The sequence below is a fragment of the Homo sapiens genome, chromosome 2 (assembly GCF_000001405.40).
Source record: "Homo sapiens chromosome 2, GRCh38.p14 Primary Assembly".
NCBI lineage: Eukaryota > Metazoa > Chordata > Mammalia > Primates > Hominidae > Homo > Homo sapiens.
In genome coordinates, this window is record NC_000002.12 from 137,257,908 (window position 1) to 137,278,907 (window position 21,000).

At 36.9% G+C, this 21,000-nt stretch overlaps 1 protein-coding gene across 2 annotated transcripts in view; it reads left to right on the forward strand.

Moving 5' to 3' along the window:
* Positions 1-21,000, forward strand: part of THSD7B (thrombospondin type 1 domain containing 7B) — a 912,174-nt gene that overhangs the window by 492,363 nt on the left and 398,811 nt on the right. For both annotated transcript variants that reach the window (NM_001316349.2, XM_047445935.1), the window contains exons 11-12: positions 14,626-14,755; positions 18,016-18,119. In NM_001316349.2, the coding sequence (NP_001303278.1) occupies positions 14,626-14,755; positions 18,016-18,119 (234 nt within the window). The remainder of the gene's footprint in view (positions 1-14,625; positions 14,756-18,015; positions 18,120-21,000) is intronic.

Sequence of the window (21,000 nt, forward strand, 5' to 3'; positions counted from 1 at the left end):
ACCTTGCATGAGGAACAGAAGCTCTCTGTGTCTCCATTTTCTTACCTGCAAAATGGGAATGACAAGAGTAATTGTTATAGGTTCTTATGAGGATTGAGTGAGTTGATTCATGTAAAGCACTTGGTAAATGACTGACATGGTTGAATTGTTTTTCTTACTGTTTTGAAGATTATAGTCTCCATATTAAACTTTTGTGGTTCCATGTAGTAAAATTATCCCCATTCAGAATGAAGCTTGTCATTTGGGGAAGAGAAATGCTTAATTTTAATGTAGTTGAATTTATCCAACTACGTTATGGCTTTTATTTTTTATGTTTTGAAATACTTTTTTTATCCTAAAGATATAAAGATATTAGCCTATGTTTTTCTTCTGAAATTTTTACATCAAAGTCTTTACTAATTTATTTTTAATATGGTTCCAGGTAGAAATCCAATTCTGTGTGTGTGTTTATGTGGGGAAGTGGTCCTCTTTTGCTCTCATTCCCTCTCAATGATCCAGCCACACCTGTGCTGTTGCTCTGTCTGGAATTTGACTCTGGGCCTTGGCACATAATACCAGCTCTGCCTTGACCTGTCCTTCCCCATATATTACATTAGATGACCCCCTACCTCCTTCAAGTTCTTACTCAAATATTCCCTTCTCATTGAAGATTTTGAAATTTAAAATTGCAAAACCTTCTCCCCTGCCACCACTCGCCCTGCCCCCCACCCGCCACAGGCACACATGGAAAGATACACACAGACACACATACCATGCTCTTTTTTTTTTTTCTGCACATTTTTTTTTATTTTAGGTTCCAGGATACATGTGCAGGTTTGTTATGTAGGTATACATATGCCATGGTGATTTGCTGCACCCGTCAACCCATCATCTAGGTTTTAAGCCCCGCATGCATTAGGTATTTGTCCTAATGCCCTCCCTCCCATGTCCCCCCCAACCCCTGACAGGCCCTGAAGCGTGTTGTTCCCTCCCCTGTGTCCATGTGTTCTCTTTGTTCAGCTCCCACTTATGAGTGAGAACATGCGGTGTTTGGTCTTCTGTTCCTGCGTTAGTTTGCTAAGAGTGATGACTTCTGGCTTCATCCATGTCCCTGCAAAGGACATTATCTCATTCCTTTTTATGGCTGCATAGTATTCCATGGTGTATATGTGCCACATTTTCTTTATCCAGTCTATCATTGATGGGCATTTGGGTTGGTTCCAAGTCTTTGGTAGTGTAAATAGTGCTGCAATAAACATACATGTGCATGTATCTTTATAGTAGAATGATTTATAATCCTTTGGGTATATACCCAGTGATGGGGTTGGTGGGTCAAATGGTATTTCTGGTTCTTGATCCTTAAGGAATCACCACACTGTTTTCCACAATGGTTGAACTACTTTATACTCCCACCAAAAGTGTAAAAGCGTTCCTACTTCTCCACAGCCTAGCCAGCATCTATTGTTTCTTGACTTTTTAATAATTGCCATTCTGACTGGCATGAGGTGACATCTCATTGTGGTTTTGATTTGCATTTCTCTAGTGATCAGTGATGATGAGCTTTTTTATATATGTTTGTTGGCTGCATAAATATCTTCTTTTGACAAGGGTCTGTTTATATCCTTTGCCCACTTTTTGACGGGGTTGTTTTTTTCTTGTAAATTTGTTTACGTTCCTTGTAGATTCTGGATATTAGACTTTTGCCAGTTGGGTAGATTGCAAAAATTTTCTCCCATTCTGTATGTTGCCTGTTCAATCTGATGCTAGTTTCTTTTGCTGCTTGCACAGTATTTTTTGCACGGTATTTAATTACTGTATGAAACACTAAATGTTTAGCTTATTTATTTTCAAATTGCCTTTCTCCCTCTACTAGAATGAAAAGTCCTTGAGGTCAGGAATAATTTCTTTTGTTTGGTTGTAGCTTCAATTTCTAGAATGGTATCCTCTCCTTAGAATATTTCAGTATTCTTCTTCTAGAACTCAGAGCACCTATAAATAGTTCTCATCTTGGGTTTTCTTTATTTGTGTGTGTGCGTGTGGGTGTGTGCGTGTGTGTGTGTGTGGTGGAGGTTGTAGGTTTTGCCTCCTCTTTCCTGATTTCTCTTATCCAGTAAATCCCAGGCTTTCACTATCAGTGATGGAGAAATTTTCCCAACGGCCAGTGCTCCAAACCGTCTCCTGACTTTAATGCTATTTTAGGCATGGATTTATAAAACACTTTAAAAACATTTCAAAGAGAATTGCAAGGCAAACAAAAATAAAAGGAGAAGGAACTTATAGGACATGTCAACAAATTATAGCCCAAATAATGGTTAGATATTTATTAATAATTTAAGAGAATTGGTATAAGTATGTATAATATATTACTATGATATTAAAAACAGTTTTAAAGAGTTATTGTCTTTTAAATATATTCTGAAATATTTGCATGTAATAATGTGCTTTCTGAATTTTTTTAAAGTAATCTGCATGTGTATGTGGGCATGGGTATAGTTGAAACAAGGTAGGTCATATACTGATGGTTATGGAAGCTGGCATATGTGAACTCTGGGTTCATTTGATTTGTTAAAAAATTTCTTAAAAAGGTAAAAATTGTCCAGGCATGGTGGTTCATGCCTGTAATTCCAGCACTTTGGGAGGTCAAGGCGGGAGGATTCCTTGAGCCCCGGAGTTGGAGATGAGCCTGGACGACAAAGGACAACCTTGTCTCTACAAAAAACAAACAATAATAAGGCAGGTGCAGTGGCACACTCCTGTAGTCCCAGCTACTCTGGAGGCTGAGGTGAGAGGATTGCTTGAGCCTGGGAAGTTGAGGATGCAGTGAGTTATGATCTTGCCACTGCATTCCAGCCTAGGTGACAGAGTGAGACGCTGTCTCAAAAAATAAATAAATAAACAAACCTTTCAGCAGAGGTTCTCTAGACATGCAGTTTCCTATATTGTTGGAAGCTAATGTCTCCATCTTCTCATTCAGAAGAATAATGTGTTTTAAATGGCTATATGGTAATTCGGTCATTTTTTTCACTCATTCACTCTTATTTGTTCAACGATTATTTACTAATGCCTACCAGGTTTATTTTATTTTATTTTTATTTGTTTGTTTTTTGTAGATATGGGGGTCTTGCTGTGTTGCCTAGGCTGGTCTCAAACTTGTGGGCTTCAGCAATCCTGCCACCTCAGTCTTGCAAAGTGCTGAGATTACAGGTGTGAGCCACCTTGCCTGGCCCTTACTAGGCTTTAAGCACTACAATAAGACCTAGAGAGGCTCACTGTTCAAAGACAGAGAGTCAAAAAGACAACAGGATGCGACAGAGTTCTTTGTGGAGGTGTAGGAACATGGGAAGAGGGATGCTTAGGTGAGAGTGGGGTGGAAAAAACTTCTTGAAAGTGGTGACCCTCTGCTCAGTCTCAAAGGAAGTATAGGGGTCATCTAGACGAAGAAAGAAGAAATATGCTTAACCTATCCTGCACACTAACCTGTCTCCCAACTAACATTTTTACATGCTGACTAGATGCCAAACCCTGAACTAACTACTTGATATTTCATTACCTGATTATTCTTCTTCAAAGCCCCTAAATCAAGTCTTCTTATTATTGCCCTTTGATGTACTGAGAGATAAGTAATTTTTCTAGGTTCACAGACCTTGGGCTCCAGGTTTACTGATTCTAAAAAGTCGCATTATTTCATCAACATAAAGCCAAAAGAGAAGTTTTGAACACTAGTGACCATGTTGACACTGCAGAAGTAGTGACAGCAATACAAGCATTAACATGTACCTTATGCATAAAAGAGATAGAGAGTGTCTATCTTGTGCTAAAATTTATGGTTAAAAATAAAAAGCCTAATTTTAATTAGTTTGTATTCACAGAGTTATTTTCCTTTAGTCATGTTTTACAACCACCTCCAAAACAAAAATTTTAATATGACAACTGATATTTAATGTCTGAGTAATTTCCCTCACCTTACATTTGGAAAACCAATGTTTCCATATAGACCCATCATGGAAAGGACATTGAGGAAAGTTTGTCAAAAAAAAAAAAAAAAAAAGCCCAGGATTTTTGTGGTTGAGCCATAGCGAGTGATGGGCAGAACATGGCAAGCTCCCTAACAGCAAGTGGTCCAGTGATACACTTCACTGTCCTGTAAAAGCTGAGGATGCAAGGACCCAGTGGTGCTATCTGTGCCCTTTCTGAGTTGTGTCCTCACTCTGCTAGCTTCTCTCTCAAGCTGTCAGCACAATGGTCGGCCTGAATAGCATTCTTAAGGACATAAAGCATTTATAGAGTAGGGCAACATGAATTGTTTTAAAGCATTTTTCAGATATATAGTTCAATATTCATGCCTAATATTGGTGACAGCATCTTCAGCTTCAATTCCAGCAGTATTTTTTCAGCTTATATCTTAGATGACATTTGTGCCCCTCAAAACCTGTCTGTATCCCATGCAGAATGGTGTTTCAGTGTATTTCAGTCTTAATGCTGACAGAATGCAACACATTAGGGGACCTTGTTGTAGCAAGCAGCTATAGTCACTCCCTCTGCTAAAATGAAAGGGGTCAGGATTTGCGGAAAAAAAAAAAAATAAATCCCTGTCATTTCATAACACATAACACATTGACAAGAAGAAAAGACAAGTGCAACTTATCATTATAGGTGTTGTTATTAACCTTCCTTGTTTATACTGCACAATTCCAATCATACCCTTTATGATAGACTTAGCTAGAGGGCAGGTCGTATTTTTTAAATGGGTTGAGAGCTGTAATGGTTTAGCTAGTGTTCCTTTGTTTTCTATTGCTTGGTTAAGCATGCCATATGGTCTTTTTCCTGTTTTACTTATTGGATGCATAAGAAACTCTTCTTTAGTTGTGCTAAATCGGTGGTTCTCCTCCCTGGGGATTTTTTTAAAACATGCTAATACTTCAGCTCCACCCATCAGGGATTGTCCTTTAATTGGTTTGGGTTTCTGAGAGTAGGGTGGGGCACTAGGAATTTGAGAAAGCATCCCTGAGATTCTGATATGCAGCTGGAATTAGACACAATGAGATCAGCTATGGATGACTTCAGTTGTGATATGTAGAGACTGAGGAAGGGCAGACTCAAAGTGGGTCACTATTTGATAAGGTTAGCTCTCTCTAAATTGGGGATGTTTTAAGAACAGCAGTGGTTGGGGATAGAAAGCTGAGGATATTGGAAGGAGTCCCTGGAAATTTAGAACTATGGCCTGGGCTTCTGAGTGTGTTGCGTCTGCTACAGGAAGTTTGTATTTGCCTTGACTCTTATCCTGGATAGCGTATGCAGATATAAACATGAATTGCTCTTTCTTAAGTCTATACAAAGGGCTTTCATATAAAAAATTTCAAGTTCACTATATATATAATATATATATATACACACACATACACATATATATAACATTTGAGAAAAACTTTAAATCCCACTTAATTAAGCATTCCTAACAGCTGTCCTGTGAATTGTCTCAGCAGTATTACCCACATAGGACAAGTAAGAAAATTGAAGTTCTGAAAGGTTAAGTGCCTTGCCCAAGGTCATATAGCAATTCAGTAATGAGATGGGATTAGAAATCAGAGCCCTGAAGGTCTTGTCTGTTGCCAGATCCATTGAATTTGGCTTCTGTTGCAAAATGAATGATGATTATAAAAATTTAAGAATATAGAGTACATTTTTTCAGGCAGTATTTCAAAATGAAAGAAGTATATGGATATCCTGAAGCTTATTTTTAACATTCCTGGAAAGCAGAAAAGCTTTGCAATTTCACCTAATTTCATTTGTATATAGATAGATAGAATCTTTAGCTCAGTGTTCATTTTGAAGTACTTCAAGGTTTAGCCTGGGAGAGAATTTTAGGGGAAGATGCTGCTGTTGATGTATCTGCTCTATATATGGAACACCAAGATGGATAGGAAGGAAGTCTATAAAACCTTCCTACTCATAGTTCTACTAGGGCATTGCATTTTTTTAAGCACTTAAGCCTCCATTTCTCCTTGAACAAAGAGAGAACATACTGGATTGATGGATTTGGATAATAAATACAAAGTTCATATTATCATTTCTGATCTCTTATAGAGATCTTTTACGTTATTATCCATCTGTCAAGTTTCACTTCTGCTGCACTGGGTAGATTTAATAATGCATGTATGTACATTTCAGCATAACACCAGCACCTAGGTGAGTTGCCTACATGTAGCAGGTACCTCACAAATATTTATTAATGATGACAACACTGTATGTGGTAAATGCTTCACTCTGATAACTCAGTCACAGATTTAAAGGTGAATAAACTTAGGCTGCCTAATATTGTACTGCCATCTTTGCTGTCTATAGTATTGACTTAGAAACAGCCTTTTTTTTTTTTTTTCTTTTTTTGAGACAGAGTCTCGCTCTCTTGCCCAGGCTGGGGTGCAGTGGCGCAATTTCAGCTCACGGCAAGCTCTGCCTCCCAGGTTCATGCCATTCTCCTGCCTCACCCTCCTGAGTAGCTGGGACTACAGGCACCCGCCACCATGCCTAATTTTTTGTATTTTTAGTAGAGGCGGGATTTCACTGTGTTAGCCGGGATGGTCTCGATCTCCTGACCTCGTGATCCGCCCACCTCAGCCTCCCAAAGTGTTGGAATTACAGGCGTGAGCCACCGCGCCCAGCCAGAAACAGCCTTCTTAATGACAATTTGGAATTTTTTTCCAAGTCCAAGTTGTTTTCCCCTCATATTAATGCTCCTTTTTGAATAAATGCCAAGTCTCTTCAGTATTATGGCATCCATTTGTGATATTTCTGTTATAATAACACATATAGAGTAGCTATGGTTATTTTGAGGTAAGCCCTATACTCTCTTTTCCCATTAATTTTTAATTCCATGTTTCACAAACAGGTTTGTTGAGGGACGCAAAAGAGCCTTCTTTTTTTTTTTAAATTTTTTTTATTTTTTATTTATTATTATTATACTTTAAGTTTTAGGGTACATGTGCACAATGTGCAGGTTAGTTACATATGCATACATGTGCCATGCTGGTGCGCTGCACCCACTAACTTGTCATCTAGCATTAGGTATATCTCCCAATGCTATCCCTCCCCTCTCCCCCCACGCCACAACAGTCCCCAGAGTGTGATGTTCCCCTTCCTGTGTCCATGTGTTCTCATTGTTCAATTCCCACCTATGAGTGAGAATATGCAGTGTTTGGTTTTTTGTTCTTGCGATAGTTTACTGAGAATGATGATTTCCAATTTCATCCATGTCCCTACAAAGGACATGAACTAATCATTTTTTATGGCTGCATAGTATTCCATGGTGTATATGTGCCACAAGAAAAAATGCTCACCATCACTGGCCATCAGAGAAATGCAAATCAAAACCACAATGAGATACCATCTCACACCAGTTAGAATGGCAATCATTAAAAAGTCAGGAAACAACAGGTGCTGGAGAGGATGTGGAGAAATAGGAGCACTTCTACACTGTTGGTGGGACTGTAAACTAGTTCAACCACTGTGGAAGTCAGTGTGGCAATTCCTCAGGGATCTAGAACTAGAAATACCATTTGACCCAGCCATCCCATTACTGGGTATGTACCCAAAGGACTATAAATCATGCTGCTATAAAGACACATGCACACGTATGTTTATTGCGGCATTATTCACAATAGCAAAGACTTGGAACCAACCCAAAACAGCCTTCTTTGAATGTTTGAATGATGCAAGCAGAATTCTGTGGCAAGAAATAAAAAGGTCCAGTGATCCTGTTGAGTAGATAATTTTAAGAATAGCAGTGCAGTCCGTCTACCTTTTCCACACATTTGAAATGCAATCCTGTGCTGGAATGAGAAATAAAATGTACATGTTTCTTATTATACATGCACATGGGGGTGATAGTCTTTGAATGATCATATAATGTGTCGTACAAACCAAGACATTTATGAGAGTGAATGGAGGAGTTATTATTATTTAAGCTAAGATAATAGGTATTGGCTAGAATTGCTGTGAGAAAACAGGATGTTTGACCATCCTATCCATTCCTCTCCAATAATATGAGAACATGGTTATAGGTACTAATTGCCTTGCAATTGTAGTTTAATTTACCAGGAACATGGAATGGTTTTAAGCCATTCATTGTCTGCTCCTAGATGTACAAAACAGGAATGAGACTCAGCTCTGAATAGAAAGCTGGTTTGTCATTTTTTTCTTTTTCTAAATTACAGAAAATTTAACTATTGAAACTTCTTCTATTTTTTAAAATCTTTCTTTTCTTTCTTGAACTGACGTGCTAGAGAAAATTCCTTGCATCTGGCAATGTGTTCATGCTTTACATGCAGTATCTCATGTAATCCTCCTAGCAGTTATAAGAACTAGAAACTTTTAGTTGGCCTGTTTTACAACTTAGGAAGTTGAAGCTTAGCAAGGTCAAACAAATAACCTAAAGTCTAACAGGTGTTAGGGTTGCAACTCAACCCTAGGAAGTATTTAATGTGTGACTATTAATGTGATATTAATCATAAAAAGCATTGGTGTCATCCTTTTGCTTCAATCTTTGTGAGAGAGGAATCACCAGGATGGGTTCAGTTTTGTTTTTGAGTGGTGAATTGTATATATAAGTGAAGAGGAGGAAAGAGAACTTCAGGGTGAGAACCAGGAGTTAAAAGGTGGTAAGCCTGGAACAATACTGGGGCTGTGAAGCATAATAGACCACTGATGTTTAATGGGTAATAGGAATATTTGAGAAACAAGGGAAACCCCTAAAGGTTAATTTTTAAAATCTGTTAGAATTCTGCAGGTTGCTGCTGGAATAACTGCCATGCATTGCTGGTACATAGCTATCCTGCATCTACTCTGCACCTATGCTTGCCTCTAGCAGTGCCCCCAATTTCCTGGCCACACGTTCATCTCCAACCCTGCCTGTCCTATCAGCCAGTGCCTATGTTCACTCCTGTTCTACCACCCACTTGCTGTTCCCCTACTCTTACATTTTAAATTAGTTGCAAACTTAGTAAGTCAGTTCTTTATTGTAGCTCATTAATCGAATAACTCTGACATCAGGGCTCAGCATTCATGACACTAATTCAGTGTGATGTTCCCCAGCTTACCTACCTGCAAATCACCCAAAGGGTCTCTTTACATACTCATTTCTTCTCGCTTTGCTATCATCTTTCTGGAAAAGACTAGTGTAGACCTTCACAAAGAATCTATAAACATCTCTCAATGTTTGTAGCCCATTCGTGTGCTTTCTGTGGTAAATATGTTTCTTAATCTTTAAGTCACCATCTTCTCTAAATGTTATTTCTTTTGACTATAATTAAAAACAAGTTTAATTATACCTGATGACTTAGTGATGATAAAATATGCATAAATCAAAACTGAATTTAAACTAGTTATTTATTAGTCATAATCATGCTTGAGCAATTGTTGATGTTGGCAAACAGGCACTTTAATTTATTGTTATTCTTCTTCATAGGCCTAATGAGGTTGGAAACATCACTCACAAAAGCTTACAAATATGGCACTTTTTTAACACTGAAATCTGTAAGCGAGTGCTATTGAAAAATTGCTTAGAAGGGAAGAAGTATTCCTTTAAAATAACAGAAGGACAGTGATGTAGACTACCTCCCCCCCAAATCCCCCACCCCCGAGTGCTCCCCTCTTTCCCTTCATCATACTATAAAGTCTCTTTTAATGGAAATATCATGGGCCTAATTGTCTGCCTAGTACAGTTTTAACTCTATCTAGTGATTTTTGGGAAATTATTTACCTCTTCCACCCCCCCATTTTCTTATCTGTAAAATGGGAATAATAATATGAATCTGATAAGAAGTTATAATAATAAAATAAGGTAGCATATGCATACGTAAAATGCCCAGGCATGGATCTGACATAGATTAAGATGGTAATTCCTAGAAACATTTAATATGTTTTACACACATAGGTGATCTAAATGTAGTCCAGTGGCAAAGCCACTATCCTCCCCTCTCTATAGCTACTTCCCAAAATCACTTTTTCTTGAGTATTCAGTGGAAAAGGAGGTGTTGTTTGACATCACTTTCTGAGAGCTACTACTTGGCCTTTGCCCATCTTCTCTTACCTGGCTTCAAACCATGATATTGGGGGCTGCCTCAGACTCTACTTCTTTTGTTGCTGGTTACCTTTTGGATTTCTGGAATTATCATTCTCCCTTGACACAACCCTCATGCTGGGTTCAAAATGAGGTGAAATTTTTACAGGAAAGGGATATGGATCCAGAATCTAAGAGAGGATTCTTTATTTTATTTTATTTTTTTTATATACTTTAAGTTCTAGGGTACATGTGCACAACATGCAGGTTTGTTAAGTAAGTATACATGTGCCATGTTGGTTTGCTGCACCCATCAACTGATACTTTACATTAGGTATATCTCCTAATGCTATCCCTCCCCCAGGCCCCCACCCCCCAACAGGCCCCAGTGTGTGATGTTCCCCGCCCTACGTCCAAGTATTCTCATTGTTCAATTCCCACCTATGAGTGAGAACATGCAGTGTTTGGTTTTCTGTCCTTGTGATAGTTTGCCGAGAATGATGGTTTCCAGCTTAATCCATGTTATTATTTCTTGATGATATGCTCAACAAGGTGGGGATTATTCATGCCTCCCTTTTTAGACCATGTAGGGTAGCTTCCTGACATTGCCATGCCATCTGTAAACTGTCATGGAGCTGGTGGTAGTATAGCAGTGAGGACGACCAGAGGTCACTTTTGTGGCCACCTTGGTTTTGGTGGGATTTAGCTGGCTTCTTTACTGCAGCCCATTTTATCAGCAAGGTCTTTATGACCTGTATCTTATGCTGACCTCCTATCTCAGCCTGTGACTTAGAATGCCTTAACCATCTGGAAATGCAGCCCAGTAGGTCTCAGCCTTATTTTACCCAGCCCCTATTCAAGATGGAGTTGCTCTGGTTCAAACACCTCTAACAAAATAAGAAAATCATTGACTGCTCTATCTCAAGTGTACACTGCCTGCCCTTGAGTTTCCCACAACACCACTTAAGTCTGTTGTGTGCAAAGGAGTCTGCTATAGGTTTGGCCATAATTTGAGGCATTTACATCATAAGGACAGGAAAATTCTTTAAAATTGAATGCTAAATATGTCCATTGCAAAGTTCAAGGAAATATACATGCACACACATACACACACAAACACACAGAGAGAGAGAGACTCTTAACAGATAGTTCACACATCTCTGGTATTGTTTCCCTAGCTTAAGATCCTCCCTTAACTCTCTCTCTTCAAAGACATATACATTTTTCTTCGTTTATGCAGTGTGGATCAGTTTCTCCTCTGGAAAATCTTACTTTGATACTAAATGTTGATTTTCACTAGAGGATCCATCCTTTTGAAACTCCATCTGAATATCTGTAGGGCATGAAAATCAATGCAACTGTTTTTCTCAAACTTTAGATTATTTTACCTGCAGTCACACCATAAAGGCAGACTACGTCTGTATGCGAGTGTGTACCGTATGTGTATGGTGTGTGCACGTGTGTGCATGTGCATGTTCAGTGTAAAAGGGAGACATACTGATCCATGCTGTATATGTAGTCTCCCTTGGGGATTCTCCCTCCATGTGAGGTGAAGGCATCCCTTTCGTTTTTTTCTATTGTTTTCAGTCCTTATTTACAGACTCCTAAGGTAATATTTGGACAAAACACACATACACACAAACCCACACTCAAGAAAACATTCTGAGGCTAAATAGTACAGTATAGGCTAAACAGAGATAATACAGTATAATTGACATTAATTGGGAGTAGGGGAAGAGACTTTTTCCTAAAGGCATAATTATTTACAAAATATTCTTCCCACCCAAATAAAGATAGCTTTTTGTATTATTATGATGCAGAGCTATCTTGGTAACCCTCTTTTTCTTTTTAAGCATCTATTTCTAAACTCCTCACAGAACCTTAACTACATTTAAAAAGGGGCCAATTACAGGATTTACTCTTTCAAATAGCAACATGTCTCCTTTGACTTTATTGGCATGTTCTGCCAGGAAAGAGGTAGCCCACTCAAATGGAGCAACTGAGGAAGATTTAATGAAGGGACTATTTACAAAGGATGAGAAGTGTTAGGGTAGACTAACAGGGTATGATGGTTTAGGACCTGGGCTAGTGAAAGTTAGAATCCATAAAGTTGATGGAGGGAGAAACATTTAGTGGAATGAAAGAAAAGTATTTAATAGCTATAGGCAAATGCCCCTCCATAGGAACTGTGGCTTTTGTTAGAGATAGGGAGACAGTGTGAGGCAATACAGAGATGGAATCTGGTGAAATAAATACCTTGATGTCTCTATCCCTCCTCTTGCCCTTTTTTTCTTTTCTTTTGTGTGTCCCATCCCCCCATTCACAAAGCCCAAACAGAAGCCAATAAGCCGGGGGGCTACTGATGCAGCCCATCTCTGGGTATAAAGCAGGTTGAAGAAGAACAAAGAGGGAATCTAGGGGGAACAGATGGAAAAGATCCTATACATCTCCTTAACTTCCAGTTCAAGGTCATAAGATGTGCAAAGGTGTTGGTCTCTCCTCCTTCTGAGGATCTCATTCAAAATGATAGGAAAGGAATTTTAAAAGCCCTAATTCCTTCTCAGAAACAAAAGGAGAGGGCCATTAGTGGAGGACATTAGTGGATGACAGAACATTAATGGGTAATGACAGAACATTAATGGGTAAGACCAAAAAGTAGAGAAATTGATGACACGACATTGGGAGCCATGACCTAATGTAGCAGGAAGGTGGGTGGTGGCAAGGAGAAAGCTCCTCTACCCACGAGGGCTCCACAGAGCCTTGGTGACTGGTCTGATGGAGGACAGGAGTGAGGGGTAGGTCTTAAAAAAATATGGGTTATTAAGTAACCAGTAGAGGCATAAAAAACATCATTATAAAAGATTGAAAGATGGTACAAAGTAAATTGTCAATTACTGCAGAAAGTCAATAGGTAATGTCTGAAGTTCATAAATCAAGAAGTAATGACATAAGCATAGTATTTATAGATTTGGAGGTAACCATAGAAAAATTAAATACAGAAGCAGTTGAAAGTGTTCCCTCTGAAAAGGAAGACAGAGAGTAAGGAAGCTTTCATAGTGGCTGAGTTGCTTCTCACTGTGGGTCTTCTAGTATTAATGATTTTTTTTAAATGCATATATAATTTTAATAAATTCTTATTTCATTGTGCTGGCTTTCTATAAGTTAACTTCTTGATATGGGTAGGTCTATTATTTGTACCAAACCTACCAATTTATTCCATCTTCTCCTACACTGTCTTTTCTCTCCATTCTTTATAACCCTCACTGCGCTCCTCCCTCTCTCCCACCTTTCCCATGTGCTCACACCCAGAGCCGTACTCACATACCTTCCTTCTGAGTGTAGTTACTTGTCTGTCTTTGTAAATAAATGCCTTGCACTCTTACATCTCAGTGCCCTTCTTCAAAGTGCTTCCTTGGCCTGAAATGGCTTCATTCATATATATATATATTATGAATTATATATATATGAATTATAATATATAATTATATAATATATATAATATAATATATAATATAATATATAATATAATATATAATATAAAATCATATATATATTATTCATTCATATATATATGATTTTTTTTCTATTTAGCTATCAAGGCCCTCAAAGCAGACAAAAATCTGTCTCCTTCATGATCCCTCTTCGGTTGCCACAGTCAAAAATGATTTCTGTTTCTTCTATACCCACCTAGCACCGTGTCACTCTCTGACACTGCTCACACTGCAATGTCTTCTAACTAGTCGTATATATGTCTGCCCCTTTTCTTCTTGCTTAATTATAAGTTCTGTAGGTCAGAGATTTGTGTGTGCATTTACAGTGCAAATAGTCTATCTTCCACATAGTAATTGAAGTAGTTGCTAAGCACTTTAACGATAATTGATTTTTGTTGCTGATGTTGATTCAGAAGGCATCTAAAGATTGTGAAATGAGTGCCTCAACACATTAAAGTGAACATCAGTTGTTTTTTAATTGATGTTCCTATTAATACTTCTATTTCTCAGCAAAACCCTGAACTAAACAATATTTTGTTCTTTCCCAATTTTACTGCCTCTTTCCTAAATTCCAATTATATATATATGGTTATAAGGTTATGAGGTTTTGAGGAATAAGAAATCTAATAAACTAATATCCATAAATGAATAGGTGACTAATATATTAATTATTATAGGTGTGTTTTGTTTGCATTATAAAAAATAGCCTGGATGGAGAAATCCCTTACTCAAGGGACTGAGTTGCTAATAATAAAACACCAGAGATTTCAGCTGTTGTTTGGAGATCAAAGAAGGTTTCTGGGGCCCCTTCGATCATGCCATAAAACTTTTATGCCATTGGTAAGGTAGATTCTAATTAAACATATTAAGACAGCGGGAAATAATTATATTCGAAATCACCATTATTAAGTATTGTGTGTTTATTTCATAAAAGTAAGATGGAGTGTTAACTCCTGGTCTTTGCTTGTTATTTTCGTTCCCAGGTTGACTTTCCACATGTGCTTACTTTATCTCTCTCTCTTTTTTTTCAATTGCTACCTGGATTTTGATCTGCATCAACATAAAAGGGCACTATATAATTTTCTTTTTCCTTTACTTCAGGAAATGCCACAGTAAAACAGTCTCGATACAGAATCATCATCCAAGAAGCAGCCAATGGAGGCCAGGAATGCCCAGATACCTTATATGAGGAGAGAGAGTGTGAAGATGTTTCCTTGTGTCCTGTATATCGGCAAGTAGTTACCTTTTAAAATTATCGTTAGACCTACTGTAAATTATAACCTATTTTCTTTCACATAACATATGGTCGTTTGGTGAAAAATAAGTAAGAGGGGATCTGACATTTACATATCTTCAAATACTTTAATATTCTTACCCTCTTATCTGGAACATATTTGGGAGGAGTAGAGATATGAAAGTCTAATTAACAGGGGGAAAAGGAAGCACGTTTGACTGTAAGTGAGCTGCTTGACTTATGCCACCATGGCAGTCCATTTTCAGGATCATGTTCGAAAGAGATTCAGGATGAGATTTTTACGGTTGTTATCTGGGGGCTGGGAGAAGAAATACACACCACACACACGGGAGAAGGAATACACACACACACACACACACACACACACACACACACACACACACAGGTGGTAACTTACCTTCATTCTATTGTTCTCATCCTAACATCTTTAATCAAGAATTAAGAACAAATTTGTACTCCCTTGTTTATTTTAATTAAAAATTTTTTGGTTCTCAATTTTTGTGATACACAATTTCAGAAACCATCCAATTAGAAGAAAACGTTTAACTTAGGGATAAAATTTTTTATTACAAAAAGAAAATGAATAACTTTTAAACTATGTATGTTCCCTGTATATTCCCTCTTGGCAAATTGGTGATTACTATTTAAAAAATAATAATAGGTTTCTTTGCTTACTCACAAACTTCCCCCCTTTTAACACCTGACAGTTTTAAATCTGATTGAAATGCTACTTTAAGGTGTATTTGGATTAAATTCAATCTCTATGGGGTTTTACTGATTTGTGAATATAATCCATGGTCTTAAAAATAATATAGGTTTTATCGGCACACTTATAAATGCCTTTAGCAAAAATGTCCCGTGTTTCTGCTAATTATTTGAGAAACTAAACCTAAAGCTGTGAAATTCAAGGGCTAATTTATTTGGGAAAATACAAGTCATTTCCTTTTTTAAAAGAAGAAAGATATCGTTGAAGAAGGTCTAAATTACTATTGATTTTATCATCCTTTACTTTCATTGTTTTTATCTGATGACCAATTTTGGGAGGATGTAAATAAACACTGGGAACATGCCCAGACTACCATTTTTTTCTCATTAACCACAGGGCCATTGTGGAAACACTGTCAATATTCATCCTTTTGTACAATGTCTAAATATTGAAACTTCTGAGCCCAGCAAAAGAGCTCTCAAGGAAAGTATCCAAATGAAAAAAATTAGCCAAATCAAATATTATTAGACATTTTTATGAACCCAGGGTTGTTATAATCAGATAAAATCAAAAAACTATTAGTGGGATCTTCCATTTCTTTGTCCACTCTTTTTACTCTCCTATTGCACTTCAATTTAGCTACTTGTGTTTGAGCTAGTTTCTATCAATGACCTCCTGCCACGTTCCCCAAAAATCAGTTCTACTGTGTATGAATTGGATCATTGTGCCATTTTTCCTGATGCATAGTTCAAAATGTATCCAAGTTATCAGCATGAATCTCTGCTCCTTAGTGAAACATCCTTGAATTTTGAGCAATATAGTTCCAATTTAGATTTTGCTTTCCCCTTTATTGGTATGTTAGGGAGGAAGTTGTCTTAGGAAGCGAGTTAACGTAGGATTTTATCATTATCTTCTGATTCTTCTTTCTGACTCCATTAAGGTGATATATTCACATGTTTACCAAATTAAAGCAGAATCAAAATGCCTATTTAATTTGTCAAGTGAATTTGAACTTCTCTCAACACATTAAGTAGCTAAGACAGCATGGGCGCCTTTATCCCTATGTAGAATTGGCAATAAGAAGTTGACAAGAGGCTGTGGCTGAGCATCAGAGACAGGACTGGAAACTGGCCTGTCCTGACTTATGCAGCCTGGGACAAATCATTTAACTTCTCTGAGCCTGGTTTTTGAAAGTTTAATAAAGGAATTCCAAAAATTTCTTTCCTCCATTTCAGTCTATTCACCAAGGTAAAGGAGATTGAACTCCTTGGTCTCATTTTGGTCAAGAAGGTCTGTATAAACTCAATTTAAGGAAATTGAGTGAATCAATGACATTTTAGTTCAAAAGTTGGACTAAAATCCCTTACCTTTTGGCTTCTGTATCTTGGAATCATGCAGAATGTATATCTATGCATGTATAAAGTAAATTTATAACAATCTAAAATTAATAGATGATTTCTTTAAATGTAACAGGTTTCCTGTTTAGCTGTTTCCTGATTTTTTTTCCCCAACTCTTCAGCTATTCCCATTATGAAGGCCACTTGAATGAAGTCAATGATGTTTTGCTTTATGTTTCTCACTGCTTTTTTGAAGTAGTTATCAGAGGTACTGGCTCATATGAAAAGGGTTAAAATGTACTAAGTGAAAGAGCAGAATCTGTAGTTATACTTAGGGTTTGGGTTTGCTGGAATATTCTGAAGAGACAGATTTAAGGACACAAGTCATCATCTGCCCTGTGAGTCATAAAAATAGAGTTTTGTTGACCTGAGAAAGAAAAGCCAGTAGAAGGTGAAAAGATTTCCTTCAAGACTGTATCCTCTGAGGACTAGAAATCATGGTATTTTATCAACAGCAGGTCCATTCCTCTTTCCTAAGATTAACTATCAGATAAGATAGTTCCATGGTGCCCGTTCTTTTACTCTATAACCTATTGAGATGTTTGATTTACTTCAAAAGTCCTTGGAAACACCTTATAAAAATTTGAAGCAGAGGATTAAGTGTGAAGGTCTGTACCTCAAGCTTATAAAAATTTTGAAGCAGAAGATTAATGTGAAGTTTGTACCTCAAGCTTACAGATGTTCAAACCTTTATTCTCTAACGCACCAGTGGGACACAGGGATTTTCTCTCTCTTGTTTTCTTGTATTGTTTTTTTTTTTTTGGAAACAATTTTAAGTGCATAAAGAACTAAAGAACTAGACCCTCCAGACTGATCAGTGCCTCTAATGTTTATTATTGCCACTTTTCTATATTAACCAAAGTTTATGTGTAAAATATCCAAATTCAGTTTTTTTCTCATTAGCCACAGGGCCAATTCAAAAACACTGAATTACTGCCTAAATCATGAATCTGGGGTAGAGTGGACTATTGTCATTCTAGTGCTTGCCAAGGCTTGGTTTTATGACATTGATTTCATATCCATTTTTATTGAATTACTGTCTTTACTTTTTTTAAACTTCAAACATATGTAAGTATTTCTTCCTCGTGTTGATCACAGTAAAGTTTCTAGTCCATCGTTTTTGGTAATCACAGGTGGAAGCCACAGAAATGGAGCCCTTGCATCTTAGTGCCAGAGTCTGTCTGGCAGGGAATAACGGGCAGCAGTGAAGCCTGTGGAAAGGGGTTACAAACAAGAGGTATGATGATTTTTACATAGTTTTTTTTTATTAATACGTAAGTTAACATTATGTAACTCATATGTGTTGCTTACTTTTATATTTGAATGAATTGTGATATTATTGGCTTGAATTATTCATATTTATTGATGTTAAATATAAATAGGATTTGGCATAGTTAGCAGTTTATATTAGATTATCTTTAACTATAACCAGTTAGTGTACCTAAGGACTAAAGCAATATAAGCAAATATCTGTTCTCGGTCATAGTGTAGCCCAATGCTCATGTTCCAAATGCATGTTAGATATTACCTAATATCTGTGAATGAAGGTTTTGTCAAGATGAGATTCAACTGTCTGTATACCTTAGATTTTTTGGTGCTAATTAAATATTTGTTGATGAATGAAAGAATAACTGAATGAATTGACTAATCTTAATGATCATAGGATATGTCTTAAATATAATTGTCATATACATACTCATCATATATCTTACATGTCATATGCATAAAAAGGAAGTAGTAAAATTTCTGGAAGACATATGAATAAGCTTCTGGACCTGAGTAGAACTGCTTTTTATCATCAATGTCTAGAAGGTGTGGGAAATCTCTGAAAAGTACTCAGAGAATCATCAGACTGCTCACTTTTCTATTTCATTCATAATCCAGGTGCCAGTTGTAGGAAGCTTGATATGAAGTGCATTATTCTCAAAACCTGACCACTTTCTCACTGAAGGGATATATGTGGCAAAATTAGACCTTGTGGAATCAATTAAATTATACTGGTTTCATAATTAATGTTCTTTTAGAAGGCATATTTAGAATTAAGTTTCTCTTTTTGTTACATAGGTCATACTTTGGAAATAATATCCCTGTCAAAAAATTTACAGATGAAATTTTATTGGTCAGGTAGTTTGATTTAAGATTGCTATGGGGATCTACAGTGGCTTTGTGTAAATTATAAGAATGAACCACTTTCTTAAGACATTTTACTTTCATATATCACTAAATTATTGTAATAATATATTGTTATTTTAATATTTTTGCCTACTTTCTGCTGAAAAATTGTTACAGAATATCCAAATCACCAATATCTACTCCATGAATGGAGCCCTGTTAAAAAATGCCAACTTTATGTAGTGTACAGTTTAAGTAGGACCTTGAATTTGTTACTCTATGATATTACAATACTAAACAAAACCATTTAGTAAATTCTGCAAGGATATTGTATGTAAATGATGTAAAATTATCACATAAAAGCAAGATATTTCATATTTTCTAGAATATGAAATCTCTTTGGATTTCAATATAAATGAAGATTTCTAGCTGGATGCCTGATAGTCCTTTAGATTAGGCAATGAACTTTCTCTAAATTTGACACCAACATTAGAGCATTCCTGGTGTTTAGTTGATGGGCAAGTTGCACTTTTAGCATAGTAGGATGGGTCTTCAATTTTAGGATTATGGAAGAAAGACATTGCTACCTCTATCTTTTCTTTAAATTAAGAACCATAAAGGAAAATACAGAACAATAAGACTAAATACATCTCCAATGAGATCAATCTCCTTTATAAAATCACTCCAAAGAACAAGGAATACAGTAAACTTACTTTCAGGTAAATTAGGAGCCATCGGTAAACTAGGTCATAATATATGAATTTGGAAAGTAAATGGAGATATGGCAAAGTATTTTGCAGAACAGGATTACACCTAAGTGTTGGCAAGGGTGAAGCTGTGGGAGCTGGAGAGAAATAAAATGGTATATCCTGGACAACTCCAGGAAGAAACCACATTCTGCAGAAGGAAGTGTGCAAGAGTGTGTGTGTATGTGTGTTGGGAGTTGAGGATAAAAGCTGGAGCTCTGAAAGTCTGAATAAAGAGCAGGAAAGTTCCTCCTTGTTCAAGTTCTTCACCTTTCACTCTACAGAGTCAGATTTCTACCATTTCTTTTTCTTGTGGGAGCATGGAGATGTATTCTTTGGGAAACAGAGAGGTTTTAGACTCTGGACAATAAGCAGAGGTGGGTGGAGATGCGGGGCTAGACTGAAATCAGGTGGATCAAAGGAATGTCTGAATAAGGAATTATGAGACTCTGATTTCCTCTGAACATTAAACTGCTAAGAGTTGAAGGATAGAGAAATGAGAATATAAAGGGGAGAAAAGTATCAAAGAAATAATACTAGAAAAATACTCATTAAGGAGCCAAAATGATTAAATAAGTCCCATATCAAGGCTTGTCACTGTGATATTTCAGACCACCTGGGGTAAAGTCATGACCCTAAAGCCTTCCAGAGTAAACACCATGATCTCTCACCCAGAGTTTTTGAATAAGATTGTAGGACTTTTCAACATCAGCACTGGAAAGTGGAAGGAAATAGAACAATATCTTCTAAATGTGGAATGAGAATATTTTCAACCAAGAAATCCATATTAAATTATCATTCAATTATTAGGATAACATGAAATGTTTGTAGAAAACAAAATCTCCAAAAGCTTACCTTCATAGCATCCTGTGTCCAGAAGTAAATAGAGTATATGCCTCATCAAAGATGAATAAATCAGTATGCACACTGGGTATCCTCCCCAGAAGAGAGGACATTGGCATTCCTAGGAAGAAAGGGAGGGGAAATTCATGGACCACTGCTGTTCACAGGCCTCGAGCTGTTCACTAGGCTTATGTGGTGAGAGCAGGAGACCTGTAAAGTGTCAGGAGGGATGTCTTAACATTAACAATAGAAAGAATAGAGGACCTGTCAGGTTTGACCTGGACAACTGTACTGAGAAGCATTTCATAGGTATAAAAGCACTTATCCGGATTCATAGAAACGTTTGCAAATAAAAGTGAAAAAATTTCAGGAAATACAAAGTGTTGTAGATAAGAGGTATAGTTACAATATACTTTT